This window comes from Homo sapiens, chromosome 12 (genome assembly GCF_000001405.40).
Source record: "Homo sapiens chromosome 12, GRCh38.p14 Primary Assembly".
Classification (NCBI taxonomy): Eukaryota; Metazoa; Chordata; class Mammalia; order Primates; family Hominidae; genus Homo; species Homo sapiens.
Genome location: NC_000012.12, coordinates 52,369,158 through 52,388,131, shown reverse-complemented (window position 1 = coordinate 52,388,131; position 18,974 = coordinate 52,369,158). Strand labels below are relative to the sequence as shown.

Sequence of the window (18,974 nt, the reverse complement as noted above, 5' to 3'; positions counted from 1 at the left end):
GGAGTTTCGGCATGGAAATGGCATGATCTGACATGTTTTTAAAGGATCACTCTGTGCTGCTAAGAAAAGCCTGAAGGGGCAAGGGAGGAAGCTGGGAGACCAGCTGGGAGTGTAGTTCAGAAGATCCTGTGGGAAGAGATGGGCCTGGGCCAGCATGGGAGCAGCAGGATGGTGAGAAGGAGTAGGAGTCTGGATATATTTTGAAGGGAGAATTTGCCAATGAATTGAATGTGGGAAAAGGGAAATAAAAAACAGAGGACAAAAGGATGACTCCAAGATTTCTGGCATGAACTATTGCAGAGATAGTGATGTTGGCAAGTGGAACATATTTAGCAGGAACAATTAGGAGAACAGTTTTGGTCATAAAGTCATCCCTCTGTATCTGTGGCTCCCACCTTTGTGGATTCAACCAACTGCAGATTGAAACTCTTAAAAAAATTGCATCTGTGCTGAACAAGTACGGACTTTTTTCTTGTCAATAAAGTATAACAACTATTTACATAGCATTTACATTGTATTAGGTATTATAATCCAGTGATGATTTCAAGTATACAGAAGGATGTGTGTGGGTTACATGCAAATACTACACCATTGTATATCGGAGGCTCGACGAACATCCATGGATTTTGGTATCCACAAGGGGTCCTGGAACCAACTACCTGGGGATACCAAGGGACAACTGTATTAAGTTTGAGATGCCTATCTGATATCCAAATAGAGATGTTGGTTAAAATATATGTGTGGCGTTTAGGGGTAGGGAGGTCTGGGATAGAGTTGTGCCTTGGCAGTCATGAATGAACAGATGGTATTTAAAGTCCTGAGTCTGTATAATATCACCAAGGCAATGAGTCTAAAGAAGAGAATAGATACCCAAGGATTGAGCCAGGGACTCTGCAGTGTCTAGAGGTTGGGGATATGAGGAGGAACTGGCTTAGAAGACTGAAAAGAGTGTGGCAAGAAATCGAGAGAGTGTAGTGTCCGAAAATCAAAAGAAGAGCGTGTTTCAAGAGAAAGGGCATGGTCAGCTATGTGAAGAAAGTGAGAACTGAGGACAGACCATTGAATTTAACATGGAGGCCACTGGTGGTCTTGACGAGAAGTATGCACTTCTTATTGTTTTTCTGCTTCATTTCCCCCTTAGACATACAGCTGATAGCTGGAAAAAGAAAATACCGCACAAATGAGCTGGATGCTTCTGGTCAAAAGCATACATCCCCTTCCAAGTGGAATTGCAAGCATCCCAAAGAATCTCAAGCGTCCAGTCAAACATGAGTTCCCCTGGGCAAAGGATGCACTAGAATAGAAAAGGTAAACACCAGCCTGGCTCAGGGTCCTAAAAGAGCTGCAATATTGCTAACAATGATAATATTCAGCTGCTGAGAACTTTTCCTTTTCTATCCAGATGTATATTGCTTTGTGTCTCTCTATCCTAACCAAAGATTCATCAATAATTCAAGGAACCTAAATGGACAGGCCCATAAATCACACCTATGGTATATTTGGGGGCTAAAAATCATGTAGTTAGCTTTCTATACAGAAACTTTCCAATGCTTTGGCCTCAAATCATGCCACAAAGTGTTGACTGCTGGAAATCCTCAAGATAAATGTTCTGCTGGGCATGGTGGTGGATGCCTGTAGTCCCAGCTATCTGGGAGGCGGAGGCGGGAGGATCACTTGAGCCCAGGAGTTCAAGACCAGCCTGGGCAACTAGATCATGTCTCTAAAAAAAAAAAAAAAATTTAAGATAAATCTTCCCCTACTACCATGAAGATAGAGACTGTCTTTGTAATCTCTGTACCCTCAGCAGCAAGCACACTGCTGGATACATAGCAGGCACTCTAAAACTGTAGAATGAATGAATATCTCTGAGTGTCTCAAATCACAGATGTGTCTACACTAGCCCAAATGAGCTTTACTGTAGATTCAACTCTTGTATACTAAACAGCCATATTGGATAAAACATGGCAGAAGGTTTTTTGATGATTTAATTGATTTGCAGAAATGCAACAAACTGTATTTTCTCCATATCACTTCTTACTTGGAGATGTGCACACACTCCCACCTCTTTAGGGGGTTATATCTTCATGGATGCATCCCATGTGAGCCTCTTGCTGGAGCTGTCGCCATCCTAACTTTCTGGTGGTTAGCCACACTCACAGTGAAAAAACCTATTGCATTTATGACCAAAGCAAATTAATGTCCCCTTAATGGCAATTGTGGTAGACTTATAGGGAAAAAAAAGACTATAATGTTTATATGTTTATGTGTTTTTAATGTTTATTGGTTTGCTGTTACAGCCCTCATCCCAATGAGACTAGGTGTGTCTGAGTTAACTCATTGTCAAGGAGGTTATAGGCATGCAGAGTTTCTGCTAACTACCCAAGCTCATAAATGCCTGCAAATGGATTTTTTCATTTTTATGGGGCCAAGCCTCAGATCACCACACACATAAAAGGGGTGCAAGGGTTCCACTGGCCTCAGAGGGACTCCCAGCTCCAGCTCACCCATTCTACACTTGCTCTTTTGCTCCCAACCAGGAAGCCATCATGTCTTGCCGCTCCTACCGAGTCAGCTCTGGTCACCGGGTGGGCAACTTCAGCTCTTGTTCAGCAATGACACCACAGAACCTGAATCGCTTCCGGGCCAACTCTGTCTCCTGTTGGAGTGGGCCTGGATTCCGGGGCCTTGGCAGCTTTGGTAGTCGGAGTGTCATCACCTTTGGATCGTACTCACCCCGGATAGCAGCTGTAGGCTCTCGGCCCATCCACTGTGGAGTCCGCTTTGGTGCTGGCTGTGGGATGGGTTTTGGTGATGGGAGAGGTGTTGGTCTGGGGCCTAGGGCTGACAGCTGTGTTGGTCTGGGCTTTGGAGCTGGCAGTGGCATTGGCTATGGCTTTGGTGGCCCTGGCTTTGGTTACAGAGTTGGAGGGGTTGGAGTCCCAGCAGCCCCATCTATCACAGCTGTGACTGTGAACAAGAGCCTACTGACCCCCCTCAACCTGGAGATTGACCCCAATGCCCAGAGGGTGAAGAAGGATGAGAAGGAGCAAATCAAGACCCTCAACAACAAGTTTGCCTCCTTCATTGACAAGGTACCTATGATAGCTGAATCTCTGGGTCTAGGAATATTACAGCCAAAATGCGCTAGAGTGCTCTTTCCCTTAAAAAGAACTGGCCCGGTTCTGGGGACTTGACCTTGACCTCAGATCTTTCAAGTGCCTACCTCAGGCATTGTGGTATGCTTTATGGGTTGCTCTGCTGCAGAGCAAGGCCAAGCCAGAGGACGAGCTGCATGGTGGGATAGATTCCGACAGTGTTGATATCTTCTGGAGGACAGAGGAGCATCCAGCCAAACTCGAGGGCATCTCGACAAACTAAGATGTTGCATCTGGTCACTTAGAAATGTCTCTGAAACAGGCTGGAAACACTGGGACTTTAGCCAGGTGTTGGCTGGTATATGCTTAAGAGGTTTTATTCTTTGAGATCCTTTTGTTCCTTATGAAGTTTTCATAGTTTCTGAGGCTGAGTGGCCTCATCTATTCAGGCTTAGAAAAGTAGAGAATGGAGTTGAGTAATTAAAAAAAGAAGAAGAATTCATACCCCCACATGGGGTATCAAAATTCGGCCAAGTTGCCTAGATTCAGGGAAATTGCAGGGAATGACCACTGGTAGTCACTGGCTTCCAGGCAGATGAGTGGGAACAGTGATGTGGATAACCCAAAAGAACTGACATCCCACACACCATGTCTATGTGGAGATGGAATGGTTATGTCTGAGAATGAAGGATAACCTCTGTAAGTTTTGGGTTCTTCCTCTCTAAAATGAGGGGCTGGGGTAAAGGGTCTGTAAGTTCTCTTCCAGCTCTACACATAGCCAATGGAATATCTGCGATGTTGGATAGGACTTACAATCTGAGAATTCCTACCTCCCAGTACCATATCCCACCCCAAATGTAGTTTACTCTGCTCCCCATTCTCTGCCAGGGATGCCTGGCATCAGTTTTCAGATATAGGCAAACCAGAGCTTAAATAGAATCAACCCTTCCAACTTCCTGATGTACCAGTGTACAGCTTTCTTAGAGACTGGATAGGGGAATGGTACTGAAGTGCTATGGTTCAAAACCCCATATTGGTAACTAGGCCTAGCCGAGCACAAGGAGGGAGTCACAACCTGCCCTTCCAGCTTCTGCTGAGTTAGTGGAGGAATGAAAGTCAGCAGAGGAGAGAACCCTGTCGACATGTGGTCAAGTCATCGCTGGCCATCTCAAGAGCTTGGTCAAGGCATGAACCCTATCAAGCACTTCAAATGCCATTTCTGTGCCCTGTGGATTTAGGTTCGGTTCCTAGAGCAGCAGAATAAGCTCCTAGAGACCAAGTGGAGCTTCCTCCAAGAGCAGAAATGTATCAGGAGCAATCTGGAGCCACTCTTCGAGAGCTACATCACCAACCTGCGGAGGCAGTTGGAGGTGCTGGTCAGTGATCAGGCCCGGCTCCAGGCTGAGAGGAACCACCTGCAGGATGTCCTAGAGGGCTTCAAGAAGAAGTGAGTGACATCTGAGCTGCACAGACCAGTGACAGGCCAGGCCTGGCCCCAGAATTAGCTGCCAAGCTCAGATGAGAGCAGCTGGAAGGATCAGGGTTGAATGCTGGTTACCACATCAAGCCTGGGGAGGTGGGGGTGGGTAGAGATATGTGAACAGAGAAGAGGAGGCCCTCCTGAGGAAAAAGGTGCCCATGTTCAGTATCTTTTTCAGTTGGGCCCTACTTGCTCTATAGTCAAATGCAATGATCCTACATTATTTCTGTCAGAGGAACATAGCAATAGACCAGGTTTTCAGATCCCAAACCCACATTAAGAAAGTGGAAGGGATTTGGAGAAACTGAGAGGCACTGGCTTATGAAAGGTCATAAAGATGAGACAGAGGGGATGATGTTATAGCATTCAGATAGCAATAGGGAACCATGATCCTGCACAGACTGAGAGATCTTGCAAGGTTCACTGGGGAGTTGGGAGTAACTGCCTCTCAGTTCAGAGTAAGCACTCACCCTCTTAACCTTTATCATCAGGTATGAAGAGGAAGTGGTATGTCGGGCCAATGCTGAGAATGAGTTTGTGGCTCTGAAGAAGGTAAGGGGGAACCACAGACCAGGCCAACTTCTCCTCTGGACCGGCAAATGTTCTCAAGACTCCCCAGGAAACTGCTCAGGCAGCCCTGTGGAGTCTGGGACTACTCACATCAAGACAGTGGAGACAGTGGAATCTCAGAGATAACAAGAGATTTCCTACAAAGTTCAGGTTCAGCCTCAGATTCTTTAGGATTGGGTCACATGTGAGCAGAGGTATGAAAAGGTGACCTAAGTATCTTGGATTATCTAGATTTTCTTTGCCTCTAACTGAACATCAGGAAATGTCCAGCAGCCCCTGGGGGAATGTTGGCATTGTAATAGGGAAATGAGCAAAAGTTGCTGAGCTTCACTTCTACCCAGCGACCTTACCATCTGTGGGAAGTGGCTGCCTCTTTGCACCCATCTCCAGACACAGGTGGGAAGGTGAAACAGTGCCCAGGCGATGAGTATTTATCCTTCTCTGTTTTATACAGGATGTGGATGCAGCTTTCATGAACAAGTCTGATCTCGAGGCCAACGTGGATACCCTAACTCAGGAAATTGACTTTCTAAAAACGCTTTACATGGAGGTGAGGGTTCATCTTCTCTAGGGCACCCAAGGAGATCAATGCTTGGCCTGGACTCCCTGAATGCTTAGCCTGGGCTAGCATATTTTCAAACATTTGCTATCATATATCTTTCCTCTCACTCAAATCTGTATGCTATATATGCCAATATGTCTTCAAATGGGGAAGGGAAGGTGAGCAGGCTTTTCAGCAGCCTGATGCAAGTCAAACTCCTTGGATCTATGATCCAACTCCTTATTTACCAATTTAAAGACTGGGATCTAGAAATGTCACTTCCTGTGTACTGACAAGAAGACTGAAAAATTGATTTGCCAGGAGAGGTAAGAAAAAATGTGTTTGACCTAATTAGCCAAACCAGCTGTCTTTTGCTTCATAAACAATCTGTCCAGTCTGGTATAGGCCCAGCCAGAGCTGAATTGCTAGCTCTAAGTGAAGAGGCTGAGGAAAGCCTCCTCTGGAACTCTCTTTGCAGGCCAGTCCCAAGCCCCTCAGTTCTTCTATTAAGGGCTTGGGATATAGGAATTCCTAGACCACCATGTGCTAAAATATTGTCAGGTCTCAACGGTCTGTGACCAGCCCAGCCACTTTGTAGATAATCTAAGAAAAGTTTAAGCCCTAGAGTGGCTCCCACTTTCTTCCACCATGTTCTTAGATCCCCATGGTTTTAATACTTACTGAGCAAAGTAGTGTGTTAAAGGGATGTTTCTGAGTAGATCACAAGAGCTCTAAAGTCAGCCTGAGATGGTTCTCAGACATGTCTTTTTCTTTATCATCAATTTAGATGGTCTTGCTTTTTTATGAACCAATGAGTGATGCTCTCTGCCCCTGGCACCACTTCCTGGGCCCCCTGTGGCAGAGTCCCAGCTACTAAATGAGACTCTAAGCACATCTGTCTCCCCAATCCTCCAACACAGGAAATCCAGTTGCTGCAGTCGCACATCTCAGAGACGTCGGTCATTGTGAAGATGGACAACAGCCGTGACCTGAACCTTGATGGGATCATTGCTGAGGTCAAGGCCCAGTATGAGGAGGTGGCCAGGCGCAGCCGGGCTGATGCTGAGGCCTGGTACCAGACCAAGGTGGGCAGTGGAGGCTGGGGAAGGGATGTAGGCAGCTCTGGGAATGACTCATATATAACAGATCAGGCCCAGGGAGGTTTGAAGCCCCCAACTCAGTGGGGGCTGTGATCCTGACCTGACCTCCGAACCCTCAAAATACCCTCCTCTCTCCGCAGTATGAAGAGATGCAGGTGACAGCTGGCCAACACTGTGACAACCTGCGCAACATACGGAACGAGATCAACGAACTGACCCGCCTGATCCAGAGGCTTAAGGCAGAGATTGAGCACGCCAAGGCTCAGGTGGGCAAAGGAAAGGAGGGAAAGCCTCAGATGAGGGAGAACCAGGGCCTCAGGCTTTGGGAACCCCCAAGTCTAATGAGGTGAGGGAGACCATCAAGACCCAGAAACCAAGGAATGGAGGGATCAGTCCAGGAAGGCTTTCTGGAGGATAAAAATATGGAAGGGAAGGAGAGCTTCCCACATAGAAGTAAAGGGCTAGAGCAGACCCAGCAGGGAAGGTGGTACAGAAAGAATAAATTTACCCTCTAGATGCCATGACTCTGGGGCAGCTGAAATCAGCAGTGACAAAGTCAGTGGGGATGGAAACAACAGCAATGCCCTACCCCATAGTGACATCAAACTACAGGGTCTCCAGTGCCTGGGAAAGCAGCCACCATGGGGTCCATCCCTGCCTTGGCCCCAGGCTATGTTCCCACTAAGAGGGGCCGTGTTTCTAACCCAACCTGGGGATGCCCTGGCACTGCCGAAGCCTACCTGCAAACTGCCTTCCCTGCAGCGTGCCAAGTTGGAGGCTGCAGTGGCCGAGGCCGAGCAGCAGGGCGAGGCGACCCTCAGTGATGCCAAATGCAAGCTGGCAGATCTGGAGTGTGCCCTGCAGCAGGCCAAGCAGGACATGGCGCGGCAGCTGTGCGAGTACCAGGAGCTGATGAATGCCAAGCTGGGCCTGGACATCGAGATCGCCACCTACAGGCGCCTGCTGGAGGGCGAGGAGAGCCGGTGAGTACTCTCAGTCCAGCAGGAGAGTGAAGTCAGACTTAGGCATCTAGAAAGACTAAGGAAGAGAAGGGGACAGTGAAGAACTGCAGAAATACATAGTCTTTAAAGATGACAATACCTTCTCTGCAAACATTAGTTGCATTGCCCTTGTCAGGGAATCAGAAGAAGGCTCTAGACCTGTGATTCTCAAATGCAAGTCTAGATAAGCTGCACCAGAATCATTAGTAATTTTGCTAAAATTACTACTAATGATAAATTTCCTTAAATATTTTAATCTAATGGTTTTGGGATAGGGTCTAAGAACGTGTTTTTCAACGCTCCCCAGATGTGTGTATAACCAGGGGTGAGAACTACTGCTCCACAGATCTACTCAAACAAGAAAGCCCTTTTTATGGCAAATAGGTTTTCAGGAAACAATAGTGCATGTGAAATGATTTGTTTCTTCCCCTTTCCAGGCTCTGTGAAGGTGTTGGACCAGTAAACATATGTAAGAAACTTGTTTTTTCCTCTTCACACATTTCTCTCCTCTTCAAACTTCCTTTAAACTCAGGCTCACACTGGGGTCAGGAGGCGTCCGACATGGCCGGTCTGGCCACGACAGTCAGGGGAGCTGGGACCATCCAGCCCTGGATGGGGAGCATCTTCTTAGCTGAGGTCTGAGATCTCCCCAGAGCCTGCCTTCCCCAGAGCAAAACATTCATAAAGGTTTTCAAGGCCTCCAAAGTGGAGGACAGCCAGCTTTTTTGCTTTGAGCGGCCTTGTCCTTCAAGGGAACTTAGAAGGACTTAGAAGGACTGGGACTTAGAAGGAATGGGACGCCTCTGCCAGGGGAGCCTCTCATCCCCTGATGGCAGGGAACGCAATAAGGCCAAATGGAAGTCTCCCCACTGCTGCAGCCGAAGCATGGGTTGTACCCAAAGCACGCAGGGCAGTGTGCCGGGCATGGCAGTCTGGGGACACTGGCAAGGCAAGACCCAGCCCACGCTCTCTAGAAATAGAATCTTCTTGAGAAGATGAGTCCTAGCCACCATCAACCTAACACTGGAAGGATCCCTGGGGAGAAAAGCGGATACTGGCATCCCTGTTTTGCCCACTCAGAGAAAGTACATGATTTGCCAGAACTTACAAAGCGAACCAGATTTCAAACCCAGATTTCTGACTCCAAAAACACAAATGAACACTGACGTGTAGTGGAACCGAGTGCTAAACTGGGTGGGTCAGACAGTCAGAGCTACATGTACTTGGAAGACAGTGTCCCTTCCCACTCCCATGGAGGCGGTGAGTGGTCAGGGGAAGCCACAGGCAATGGCTTTCTGCAGGAGGTCAAGCTTGAGTGAACATCATGGATGGCAGGAAGGATTCTGGGTAAGATGAAAGGGCAGGAAAGAGTGTACCCCTCCATGGATGGGGCTGGTCTAGCAAGCTCTTCTGTGGATTTGAGTCCTGAGGCATGGAGTTGTGTCCAAGGGAGAGCAGAGGGCTACAGAGCACAGCCACCAGTGGGTCAGGAGAGAGGCGACAAGGGACTAGTGTTGGAGGGGTTTCCTGTGTGCTGGGCTAGGGGAAATATGGAGACCACCAAGGGGCATAATACAACTGGAAGAGAAAAGGCCCATGGCTTTGTGGAAGCTGCTGTTCCAGCTGTCTGGATAATCCAGCTCACTACCTACATCTCACAACCCAACTTGACTTTAGCCGTATATAAATGACAGTCAACCTATGGATGCATGCAAACATCTGGGGAATTGGATGAAGTCGTCATTTTCATCTGAATGTTTGATTTTAATGTAGTCACAGTCTTTGAGCCATCCAGAGAGGGAAAAAGTGTATACTGACTGTATAGACAATAGGGACCACTTCCCCAGATGCCACAACCCTGACCCCACTCCCTCCCCACCAGACCCGGAGGTGCAGCCCAGGGGTAGCATGGAGGTGGAGGGCCCTGGTGTCGGCAGCCTCCCTGATGCTTTCTTTCTCCGCAGCCGTCAGCAGCTCCCGGGGCGGCCTGGTGTGCGGGCCTGAGCCTTTGGTTGCCGGCTCCACCCTCTCCCGCGGCGGGGTCACCTTCTCAGGTAGCAGCAGCGTCTGTGCCACCAGTGGGGTCCTGGCTTCCTGTGGCCCCAGCCTGGGTGGAGCCCGGGTCGCCCCGGCCACTGGGGACCTGCTGAGCACTGGCACAAGGAGTGGCTCCATGCTCATCAGCGAGGCCTGTGTCCCCAGCGTCCCCTGCCCCCTGCCCACCCAGGGGGGCTTCAGCAGCTGCAGCGGCGGCCGCAGCTCCAGCGTCCGCTTTGTGTCCACCACCACCTCCTGCCGGACCAAGTACTGAGAGCCCAGCCCCAGACAGCTGCTGCCCAGAGAAGAACCAGCTCCACGGCTCCTGCTTCTGCCCCCAGGGTTCGTGGGCTCTGGGCTTGACGGTCTCCAGCTCCCCTTTCTGCCAGGAAGCCACCCCTTAGCACTCCCCCGATTATTCTGCCTGGCCCCATGTCCTCTTGGAGGATTTTTCTGCCATGTAGATGCTCCATTAGCAGTTCCAGCTAAGCTGGCTTCTCCCTGCCTCCCAATTTCTGTCCTTTGGATCACTCCTCTCCCTGTCAGCAACAGCCTGGAGAAATGCACATTCCGTGCAATAACAACAATCCACCCAGTGCCCTCACCACCCGTGGCTTTGGGTTAATTTGGAGAATGGAGTTGACCGTCCACACTGCAGGCATCCTTAACTCCACATCCTTCACTTCCTTCTTCTTCCTTTCTCTGGTAGGAGAAGGTTCTTTCCTTCTCTCCCTGATGAAGGGGATCCCAGTCCTTGGTGGCCCCAGGCTCCCTAAACCCCGAGATGGCTTTTCTCCCAGTGGCTTCTCTCCGGCTGTTTCTCTTCCTGGGTTGTTGGTGTAACTCCAGCATGCAAGTCCACGAGGTGGGGTGCAGGCGGACAGGCGGGCTTTGCAATGATCCCCGTACTCCTGCCCCTGCTCGTGGTGTGAGGCCCAGCCCTGTCCACTGCAGGGTTGTGTCTGCAAGCTCCAAGGAGGCCTGGGGGTTGGGTGGGGTGGGCTGCCTGTGTGCACTACTCTTTGTGTTCCTGGGTTTTCAATAAACTTGCCAAGCTCACCTCACAGGGACTCTGGCCTCTCCTTCTGGATCACACTGGGGTTGGAGGAGTTGCCTCCTAGACTCCACCAGATCACAGCCTGCCTAGCTGAGGTAGGGCAGAGACTGGTGTCCTGGGCACAGGGAAGGCACTGAGGAAAGAGGGCCCAGGCCATTCGCTGGAGGGACTGACAGTTCTGCAGGGCATAGGAGAGGTAGCAAAGGCTCCAAAAACAAGTGGCAGCCAGCCCACTGCCCACTTCCCCCCACCACTGGGAATAGCCTTGTGCTCAGAGGCACCCTCCCCTGACCAAAGTGAACCCTGCCATCTGTTGCTCCCCAGGTCTCACCCACCCTCAGTTCCCCCAGTTCATCAGTTCATTATAGGTCCTTCCTGGTCTTTCTGTTCCCACTCGTGTCTCCATCCAACTCATTCATCACGATGCTGCTAGAAAGGCCTTTCTCACATAAAAAACTGACTGTGGTTCCCCGCAGCTCATATCCTTCGGTAGCTCCCCGTTGCCTCCCAGAAATAGCCCAAGCTCCTTAACATGGCATACAAGCCCTGTGTGATCTGCCCGTAGACTTCCACCTCCAGCCATCCCCTCCACACAGCCCACTGCCCACCTCTCATCTTTTGTCTATTCATCCAACAAACATTTGAGAAGTGCCTACCACATACCAGGCATGATGCTGGGAAAATGGTAATTGACAAGATTCAATTCCGGCCCTCAAAGAGCTTACAGTCCTGTCTGATAGATGGACAAGTGCACATGTCTGATAGATGGACAAGTGCATAAGCACTTGACTCAATATGCTAAGTACTATATTAAAAGCAGAACTCATGCTGTACTACCCAGACAAGAGGCCCCGCCCAGACTTGGGGCAACATTAAATGCTTCCTGAAGGATATAATGTCCCAGCAGAGGTGTGAAGGATGATGAATTAGCCATACTAAGAAGGAAGAAGTGTCCCAAGCAGAGGCAACAACAGCATGTGCAAAAACCAAGACGTTGGAGAGAGCAGAAGTTTGAGGATTTGCCTGGAGTTGAAATTGGCCATGACTATAGCATAGAGTGCAAGACATAGCGTCAGGTGGGGACAGGAGTCAGCCAAGGCACAGTCACGAACAGCACAGCTCCATTGGGGCACATGTCTCATAGTAGGAATGGTTTGCTGGTCAGCCTCACTCCAAGACAGTTCTTCTGAGGGAGCAGGAAGCACATCTCTCATTTTTATATGTTCTGCATTGCCAAGACCCCAGCCAGCACCCTGAGGATGTAGAGGTTGCCCTGCTCACAGCCTCAGGCCCTGCATGATGGTGGGGTCACCAGCCACTGGCCCTCCTGCTTCCAGGAGCTCATGACTTCCCACCTCATCTTCTACGTGCAAAGTCACACACACCCCTTGGGGGCAATTTTAATATTTGACATTTTTTAAGTCATTGATGGGCCCATAACAAAAAGAAGTAGACAAAGGAGAGTCAATAACTTGAAGACAGATCAATAGAAATTATCCAATCTGAAGAATAAAGAGAACATAAGATTTTTTTAAAGTTTTTTTTAAGCTAGAGGAAAATAACACATTACATATAGGGGAATAATCGTTCAAATTATCATAGATTTCTCATCAGAAACCATGAAAGACAGACGATGGTGGCACATCACATTTAAAGTGCCAAGGGTTGTGGAGGGGGGAGGGACTGTAAACACAGAATTCTACAGCCAGCAAAAGTCTCCTTCAGAAGCAAAGGCAAAAAGAAAACAAAACCAACAAAGAAACAAAAAGACATTCTCAGACGAAGGAAAACTAAGAGAATTTGCCATTTGCAGACTTGCTCTAAAAGGAAACGATATCAGAGAGAAACGTAATTTCAGGAATAAAGGAAGAACAACAGAAATGGTAAATATCTGGGTAAATATAAAATTTATTTTTGTTTCTTTTATGTTCTTTAAAATGTATATGACTATTGAAAATAAAAATGATAACTAGTGATGGGGTTTTAATTTATATAGATGCAATATCTATGATGACTGTCACATAAACTGGGGAAGGTAAACGTAAGTGATAAAATATCACCTCTAAGTAGACTGTGAAAAAGTAGATTACATACATTGTATCTCTAGAGTAGCCACTAAAAAGTAATACATAGAGATACACTCAAAAATCAATAGAGGTCAGGCGTGGTGGCTGACGCCTGCAATCTTAACACTGTAGGAGGCTGAGGCAGGAGAATCACTTGAGCACAGAAGTTCGAGACCAGCCTTGGTAATATCAGAAGACCCTTTCTCTGCAAAAATAAGAATAATTATAATAATAAATAAGTTTTTTAAGTCATAGATCAAAGGAAAATATATTAATATCTAAATAATCCAAAGAAGATAAAAAAGAATAGAGAAACATCAGAAAGGCCAAAAAGAAAACAAATAATAAAATCACAGACCTTAAATAAAACAATATTAATAATTACATATAGCATAAATGGTCGAAACACACTGTCAGGGAGAAAAAGCTTTCCTTTACCCACTTAGTTTTAGTGCTTGGAGTCTGTGAATTAAGATGACCAAAGACAGATTAACAGAAGGAAAGTTTAATGCCTACTGTCACTGTCTTTGGTAATTTGTGTCACTTTCAATCAACCTCATTTACTTGACATTTATAGAGCACACCACCCCAAACAGAAAAGTATACATTCTTTTCAAGTGATAATAGGGAACATTCACCAAGATAGACCTTGTAAATTATGTAGCCAGTCCTGCCTGAATAGCTCTATATCTAGTAAGTGTGCACTGAATGTACAGTTTTAAACCTTCCCACAGAGAAGAATTCAGGCCTAAGCATTTTCACTTGTGAATTCTACCAAACATTTAAGAAAGAATTCAACCCAAACTCTTCCAGAAAACATAAGAGAAGGGAAAACGTCTCAATTCTTTTTGAGACCAGCATTACCCTGCACCAAAACCCAATGACATTATAAGAAAAGAAAGCTATAAACTAGTATCCTTAATGAACAGAAATGAAAAAATCTTCAGCAAGGCATTAGTAAAGTAAGCACAGTAACAAATGAAAGGATAGTATATCATAACCAATGACAGTTTAGCCTGGGAATGCAAGGTTGGTTCAACTTTCAAAAGTCTATTAATGTAATTCATGATATCAACAGACTAAATAGGAGAAACAGTATAATTATCTTGACAGATGCAGAAAAAGCATTTGACAAAATTTAACATCCATTCTTGGCTTAAAAGAGAGAGAACTCTCAGCAAACTAGAAATTGAAGGGAACTTTCTTAGCCTGGCAAATGAAATCTAAAAAAAAAAAAACCTACAGCTGACAGCATACTTAATGGTAAAAGACTGAATGCTTTCTCTCTAAGATTAGATACAAAATAAAGAAGTCTGCTTACACCACTCTTAGTATTGTACAAGCTGTCCTGGCCACTGAACTAAGGCAAAAATATACAGGTTGGAAAGGAAGAAATACAGCTCAGAAGTCTTCATTTTCTATATAGAAAATTCTAGGAAATCTTTATTTAAATATCTACTAGAGCTAATAAGTGACTTTAGGAAGGTTGCAGGATGCAAGGTCAATATACAGAAATCAATTGTATTTCTATACACCAGCAATGGAAATTAAAAAATTGTTGAAATATCATTTCCAATAGTACCATTTAATTCCAAAGGATAAATACTTAGGCATAAACCTTTAAAAAGTATATGAGGATCTGTATGCTGAAAACTACAAAACATTAATGAAAGAAATCAAAGAAAACTTAAATAAATAGAAAGATATACTGTGTTAATGAGCTGGAAGACTCAATATTATTAATATGTCAGTTATCTCCCAGAGATGACATAGGGGTCAAACCCATGGACAAGGGCACAGGCAGACCTGAGTTCAATCCCAGGTCTTCCACTTACTGGCTGCGTGACCAAAGGTAATGAGAGGTAACAATAATACCTAACATATGTTGAACTGAGTAGTGTTCCAAATAATTCTCACAGGTTAACTCATTTTATTCTTTCAATATCCTTAGGTGGTAGGTGCTTTTATTATTTCCCATTTGACAGATGACAAAACTGAGGCCCAGAGAGGTTAAATAAGTGGTGAGGCACAGGAGCTCTGACTCCTGAGCCCATGCTCACCACCACTGTGCTGTTCTGCCTGTCACGTAATCTCAATACGCCTCTTGCCTCATTTGTAAAATGGAAAAATATGTCGTACCTCAAAGAGATGTGGGGATGACATGCAATGGTAATCCAAGGTGCTTGGCACTCAACCTGGCCCACAGTGGGTACACAATTGCTTCAGTAGTGGTGGTGGTGGTGGTGTTTCTCTTTTGTCAATGAACAATAGCTTTGTCAGCAGCTCAGCCACTCCAGTACCAACCACAGGTGGATGCAGAAGCGTCAGGGACTGTCTCCAGCTTCCAAAGATCTGGAAACCAGAGCCAGCTGCAGGCAGATCCCTGGCCTTCTCTGCTTCTGCCACGACTGAACTGCTGCCAGGCCAGCTGTGGGAATTTGCTGCCCTCTTCTGGCCACCAACTTCGGACAAGAAGGCGTAGGAGATTTTCAAAGCAGGCTACCAGCAGGATTGGCTTGTGCAATATAGCAAGGAGAGGAGGGAGCTTAGAGTCTTGTAAAACCATTTTGTTTTTCTCCAGATTTGTAATTAGGACACAAACATAAAAACAATAAGTAACAGCTTTTAAAAATAAATCTATCTCCTTTCTCACCAGCCCAACCCAGCCGTTTTCACCGTTCTGTGTTCTTTGTCTCCATGGGTATTCAGAAAACCACAGCCTTGAAGCAGGAAAGAGCCAGGGAGGGGTCTTAGTCCCATGGCTTTCAAACTGCATGTGTTCCTCGGGGCTCAAGGGCCAAGGCTTCCCACAAGCTGTCATTTTCTGCCAAACCTCAAATATCTAAAGTATCCAAGATAGCCATTCATTTATACATTCATCAGTCAACAATATTTACTGAGCACTTACTATATTCCCAGCACTTTTCTAGGTGAACAAAATGAACAAAACAGACAAAATCTCTGCTTCCATGGAGTTTACTTTGGGGTGATGGGAAAAACAGACAATAATCCACAAATAGAATAAATAAGTAAATTCTGGACTGTGTTAAGTGTGATGGAAAAATAAATAAATAAGAGCAAGATAAGCTGGATGGAGAGTGCCCTGGGGTGGAGGGCAGGTTGCCATTTTTTTAAAGGGTCAGAGAGATGGTATAGGGGCAAAGCCCTGCAGGAGGCAATGGGCAAGCCACTTGGATGACAGGGGAGCATTTGGGTGGAAGAGACAGCAGGGCACAGGCCCTGAGTCAGGAGTGCACCCTGTCCTGGTGCTCCAGTGGGAGGTCACTGTGGTTGCTGAACACAGGGAGACCGGTGACAAAGGCCACAACACAGACAGGCAGTGCAGGGCCTTGTTGGCCATTGTTAGGACTCCAAGCAAAATGGGGAATTGGGTGTTTGAGCAGGGTAGAGACATGATCCAACTTATGTTTTACGGGGCTTACTCTCCTCGGCTGAGAATGGAGTTGGAGGGCCAGGGGCAAACAGGGAGACCAGCATGTCAATCTTATCTATTCTATAACTACATAAGTAAATACATGGCTTTATATAGCTGTTTTCCTCCTAGGATTTGGGGAGATGGCTCAACTGCCAAAAAGAAAAGAAAGAAAACATTTCAAAACCATTCATGCAGTACATTCCTGAAATCAGAGGCTCTGTAACGACTGAGCCACTGCTCTGATCCCGAGTAACCATGGAAAACAGCAAAGCACCAGGGAATGCTGCCAATAGGAAGGCACGTGGACAGAGTTCGGGAGGAGAATGGAGTTTCTTGGAGTTGCCGTGGAGCAGGCCAGGGAGCAGCTGTGTCAGCTGGGCACGGAACCCCGCCATGACACACTGGAGAACGTAGAGTTGCTCTGACCCTCCTTTCTCTCACTTAGGGTCCCTGAATCATGCCCAAGTCTTGTGAAAGTCAAAGAGAGGGAAAGAGGGCTAAGAAGAGCCTCCAAGAGCTGCGTCTCAGCAGCGGCAGTGGCGTAGCCTTAGATGCATAATAAAAGTGTGGCCAGCAGAGGCAAAGGGCGGTACCCAGTTTGAATCAGCTGTGCAGGCCTTGTCCATGGGGAGCCCATCAGGACTGACTGAGGGGGACCAGCCCACTAGGAGGGATGGGAAGACAACCCACAAGAGCCCAGGCAGGCACAAACACAAAACTGGGAGGACAGACAGTGCAGGATGGGGAAGGTGTCAGCACCCTCCTGTCTTTGGACAAATCCAGGAAGTCTTCCTGGAAGGAGGGGATTTTAGCACAGTAGAAAAAGCAGAAGGGAAGGGAGGTAGTGGGCCTCTGGGGTTGGGGAGAGCCAGCTGCCCCAGGGAGCATCCCAGCTCAGGTAAAAAGCACCGCCTGAGAGTGGGGCTGAGGTGGGAGCAGTGAGGCCTCTGAGAAAACCCCAGAATATGTACCTCTGGAGTGGAGCAGATTCACAGGAGGTCTCAGAGGTTGCCTGGAGCTCCAGGGTAGAGTAAAGAACTTCTCTCCTCAAGTAGTTCTTGAAGACTTTCTGGAAGAAGAAGCCACTTGGGAGCAGTTTAAATTATGGGAAGGTCGTGGATTCTTCAGATTCCCGAAACTAGATGGGGCCTTCAAAAGGTGCAGGGTACAAGAGGGGACAGAGCCAAAGGAGGTGATGAGTGACAGTCCTTAGGACAAGAGAGTGTAGAAGGGGATAAATGGAGTTACCTGGGGAGCCCCAGAGAGGGCATTTATGAGACAGCAGGGAGGAGAAATCACAGCCTCCCCCGATGAGCTCACAAAGCCTTCCTGGAAGAGGCAGCTATTCTGAGACATTCCAGGCCAAGGTGTAACAGGGAGAAGGTTGGTGGAAGGAAGAGGGATGCAATAGGGCACAGGTGAATGAGGGCACAGTGAATGAGGGTGAGACACTGAAAGGAGATGGGGCTCCCAGCCCCCAAAAGATCCTGACTCTCAGGGCAACGACTTGGGTTCCACTGGGCAGAGTGGTTGGGTGATGGCTAGAGGCAGGCAGGAGGCTATGTGTTCTCTGTGTCCTCCCTGGGTAGAACCATAAGCAAAGGCCCAGGTCTTTCCAGGGCAGCTGTGCCAGATCCACCTGGCCTGACTTGCTCCCTGGCCCTGGACCACCTGGGGCCAGCCCCGTAAGGAATCTGCTCCCCTCAAGGCTTTGCCCTCAGTCCAGCTCCTCCAATCCGAAGCTCCACCTGGACAGCATCCTGGGAAGCCCCCAGCCCCAGCCCTGGGCTCAGCACTGCCATCAGCAGTGATGCAAGCTTCACCCAGCACGCACGAGCACATTCCTGTGGGCAGGGTGGGCCTGTCTCACCCCCGCACACCCTCGAAGGGGCTCATACCCTTGGGCTGGACAGACCTGCTGGTCCTGTAGAGGTATCTTAGCTCTGGAAACAGTGGAATACCCCCAGACTCCTGAATCCCCTGGCCCCACCTTCCCTTCCCATTTAGGGTGGAGGGTTGGATGGGGTGTGTGTTGGGTGCAAGGGAAAGCAGCTGAAACAGGAGCCTCCCTCCAGGACAAAACCTCCTGCCCCCAAGAAGGAAGAGAAATGTCTCTGGTCCCATCATCTTTAAGAACCTGGAGGAGGGCAGAGGCTTACGGGAGTTGTGGAGAGAGGCAGGTGTTTCTGGGCTTTCAGTCCCCTCTACCTGCCACGTTCGGACCCCACCCTTCTCCAGGAATCCCTCTTGGCCCATACCACACCAGCTCCAGGTCTACATGGCAGTCAGTCAGTGAACTCACTGTCCAAACATCCCTGTATCCCAGCAATAGGCCCCACACTGAGCTCCCCCATACAGCCTCCTCTCTCTGTCCCCAGACTCCACCCAAAATTGCTATACAAGTGAAATCAGACTAAAAAAAAAAACATTAAAAGCAGTCTTGAAAGGGTGAAGGAGTCATAAATGTGCAGAGGAGGTGAAGGCTGTGGCAGGGCAAGGAACAGCCCTTTCTGCTGGGTGAGGCAGGTGGGAATGTTTCTCGTGGAAAGCAACAGTCCCTTTCCTTTACACAGAGCTTTCCCTCACATATC

General features: G+C 47.7%; 1 protein-coding gene across 2 annotated transcripts, besides 5 other annotated features; it reads left to right on the top strand.

Annotated features, from left to right (window-relative positions):
• On the top strand, positions 1,155–10,320 carry KRT84 (keratin 84). Of its 2 annotated transcripts, XM_011538335.3 has the most exons (10): positions 1,155–1,308; positions 2,538–3,092; positions 4,334–4,542; positions 5,067–5,127; positions 5,600–5,695; positions 6,607–6,771; positions 6,927–7,052; positions 7,549–7,769; positions 8,225–8,256; positions 9,752–10,320. In XM_011538335.3, exons 2-10 carry the CDS (start codon positions 2,547–2,549, stop codon positions 10,096–10,098), a joined length of 1,803 nt encoding a protein of 600 aa, XP_011536637.1. In that variant the 5' UTR covers positions 1,155–1,308; positions 2,538–2,546; the 3' UTR covers positions 10,099–10,320. The 2 variants fall into 2 exon arrangements, with proteins under 2 accessions (XP_011536637.1, NP_149034.2); NM_033045.4 differs by lacking the exon at positions 1,155–1,308 and having other exon boundaries at positions 2,480–3,092.
• Positions 6,401–6,570: an enhancer, noted in NCBI's record as "experimental_28998 CRE fragment used in MPRA reporter constructs". NCBI's record gives its function as "activates a minimal promoter by MPRAs in K562 erythroleukemia cells, with activity observed for both the introgressed and non-introgressed 12:52775431 variant alleles {active_cell/tissue: K562}" and the evidence as "EXISTENCE:reporter gene assay evidence [ECO:0000049][PMID:34662402]".
• Positions 13,592–13,761: an enhancer, noted in NCBI's record as "experimental_28997 CRE fragment used in MPRA reporter constructs". NCBI's record gives its function as "activates a minimal promoter by MPRAs in K562 erythroleukemia cells, with activity observed for the introgressed 12:52768240 variant allele {active_cell/tissue: K562}" and the evidence as "EXISTENCE:reporter gene assay evidence [ECO:0000049][PMID:34662402]".
• Positions 15,269–15,438: an enhancer, noted in NCBI's record as "experimental_28991 CRE fragment used in MPRA reporter constructs". NCBI's record gives its function as "activates a minimal promoter by MPRAs in K562 erythroleukemia cells, with activity observed for both the introgressed and non-introgressed 12:52766563 or rs10876281 variant alleles {active_cell/tissue: K562}" and the evidence as "EXISTENCE:reporter gene assay evidence [ECO:0000049][PMID:34662402]".
• Position 15,353: a transcriptional cis regulatory region, noted in NCBI's record as "Neanderthal adaptively introgressed variant 12:52766563 (GRCh37/hg19 assembly coordinates) or rs10876281 in the experimental_28991 CRE". NCBI's record gives its function as "modulates activity of the experimental_28991 enhancer by MPRAs in K562 erythroleukemia cells {active_cell/tissue: K562}" and the evidence as "EXISTENCE:reporter gene assay evidence [ECO:0000049][PMID:34662402]".
• Positions 17,600–18,099: an enhancer, noted in NCBI's record as "H3K4me1 hESC enhancer chr12:52763817-52764316 (GRCh37/hg19 assembly coordinates)". NCBI's record gives its function as "activates a minimal SCP1, AML or CMV promoter by ChIP-STARR-seq in naive H9 embryonic stem cells {active_cell/tissue: H9 hESC(naive)}" and the evidence as "EXISTENCE:reporter gene assay evidence [ECO:0000049][PMID:30033119]".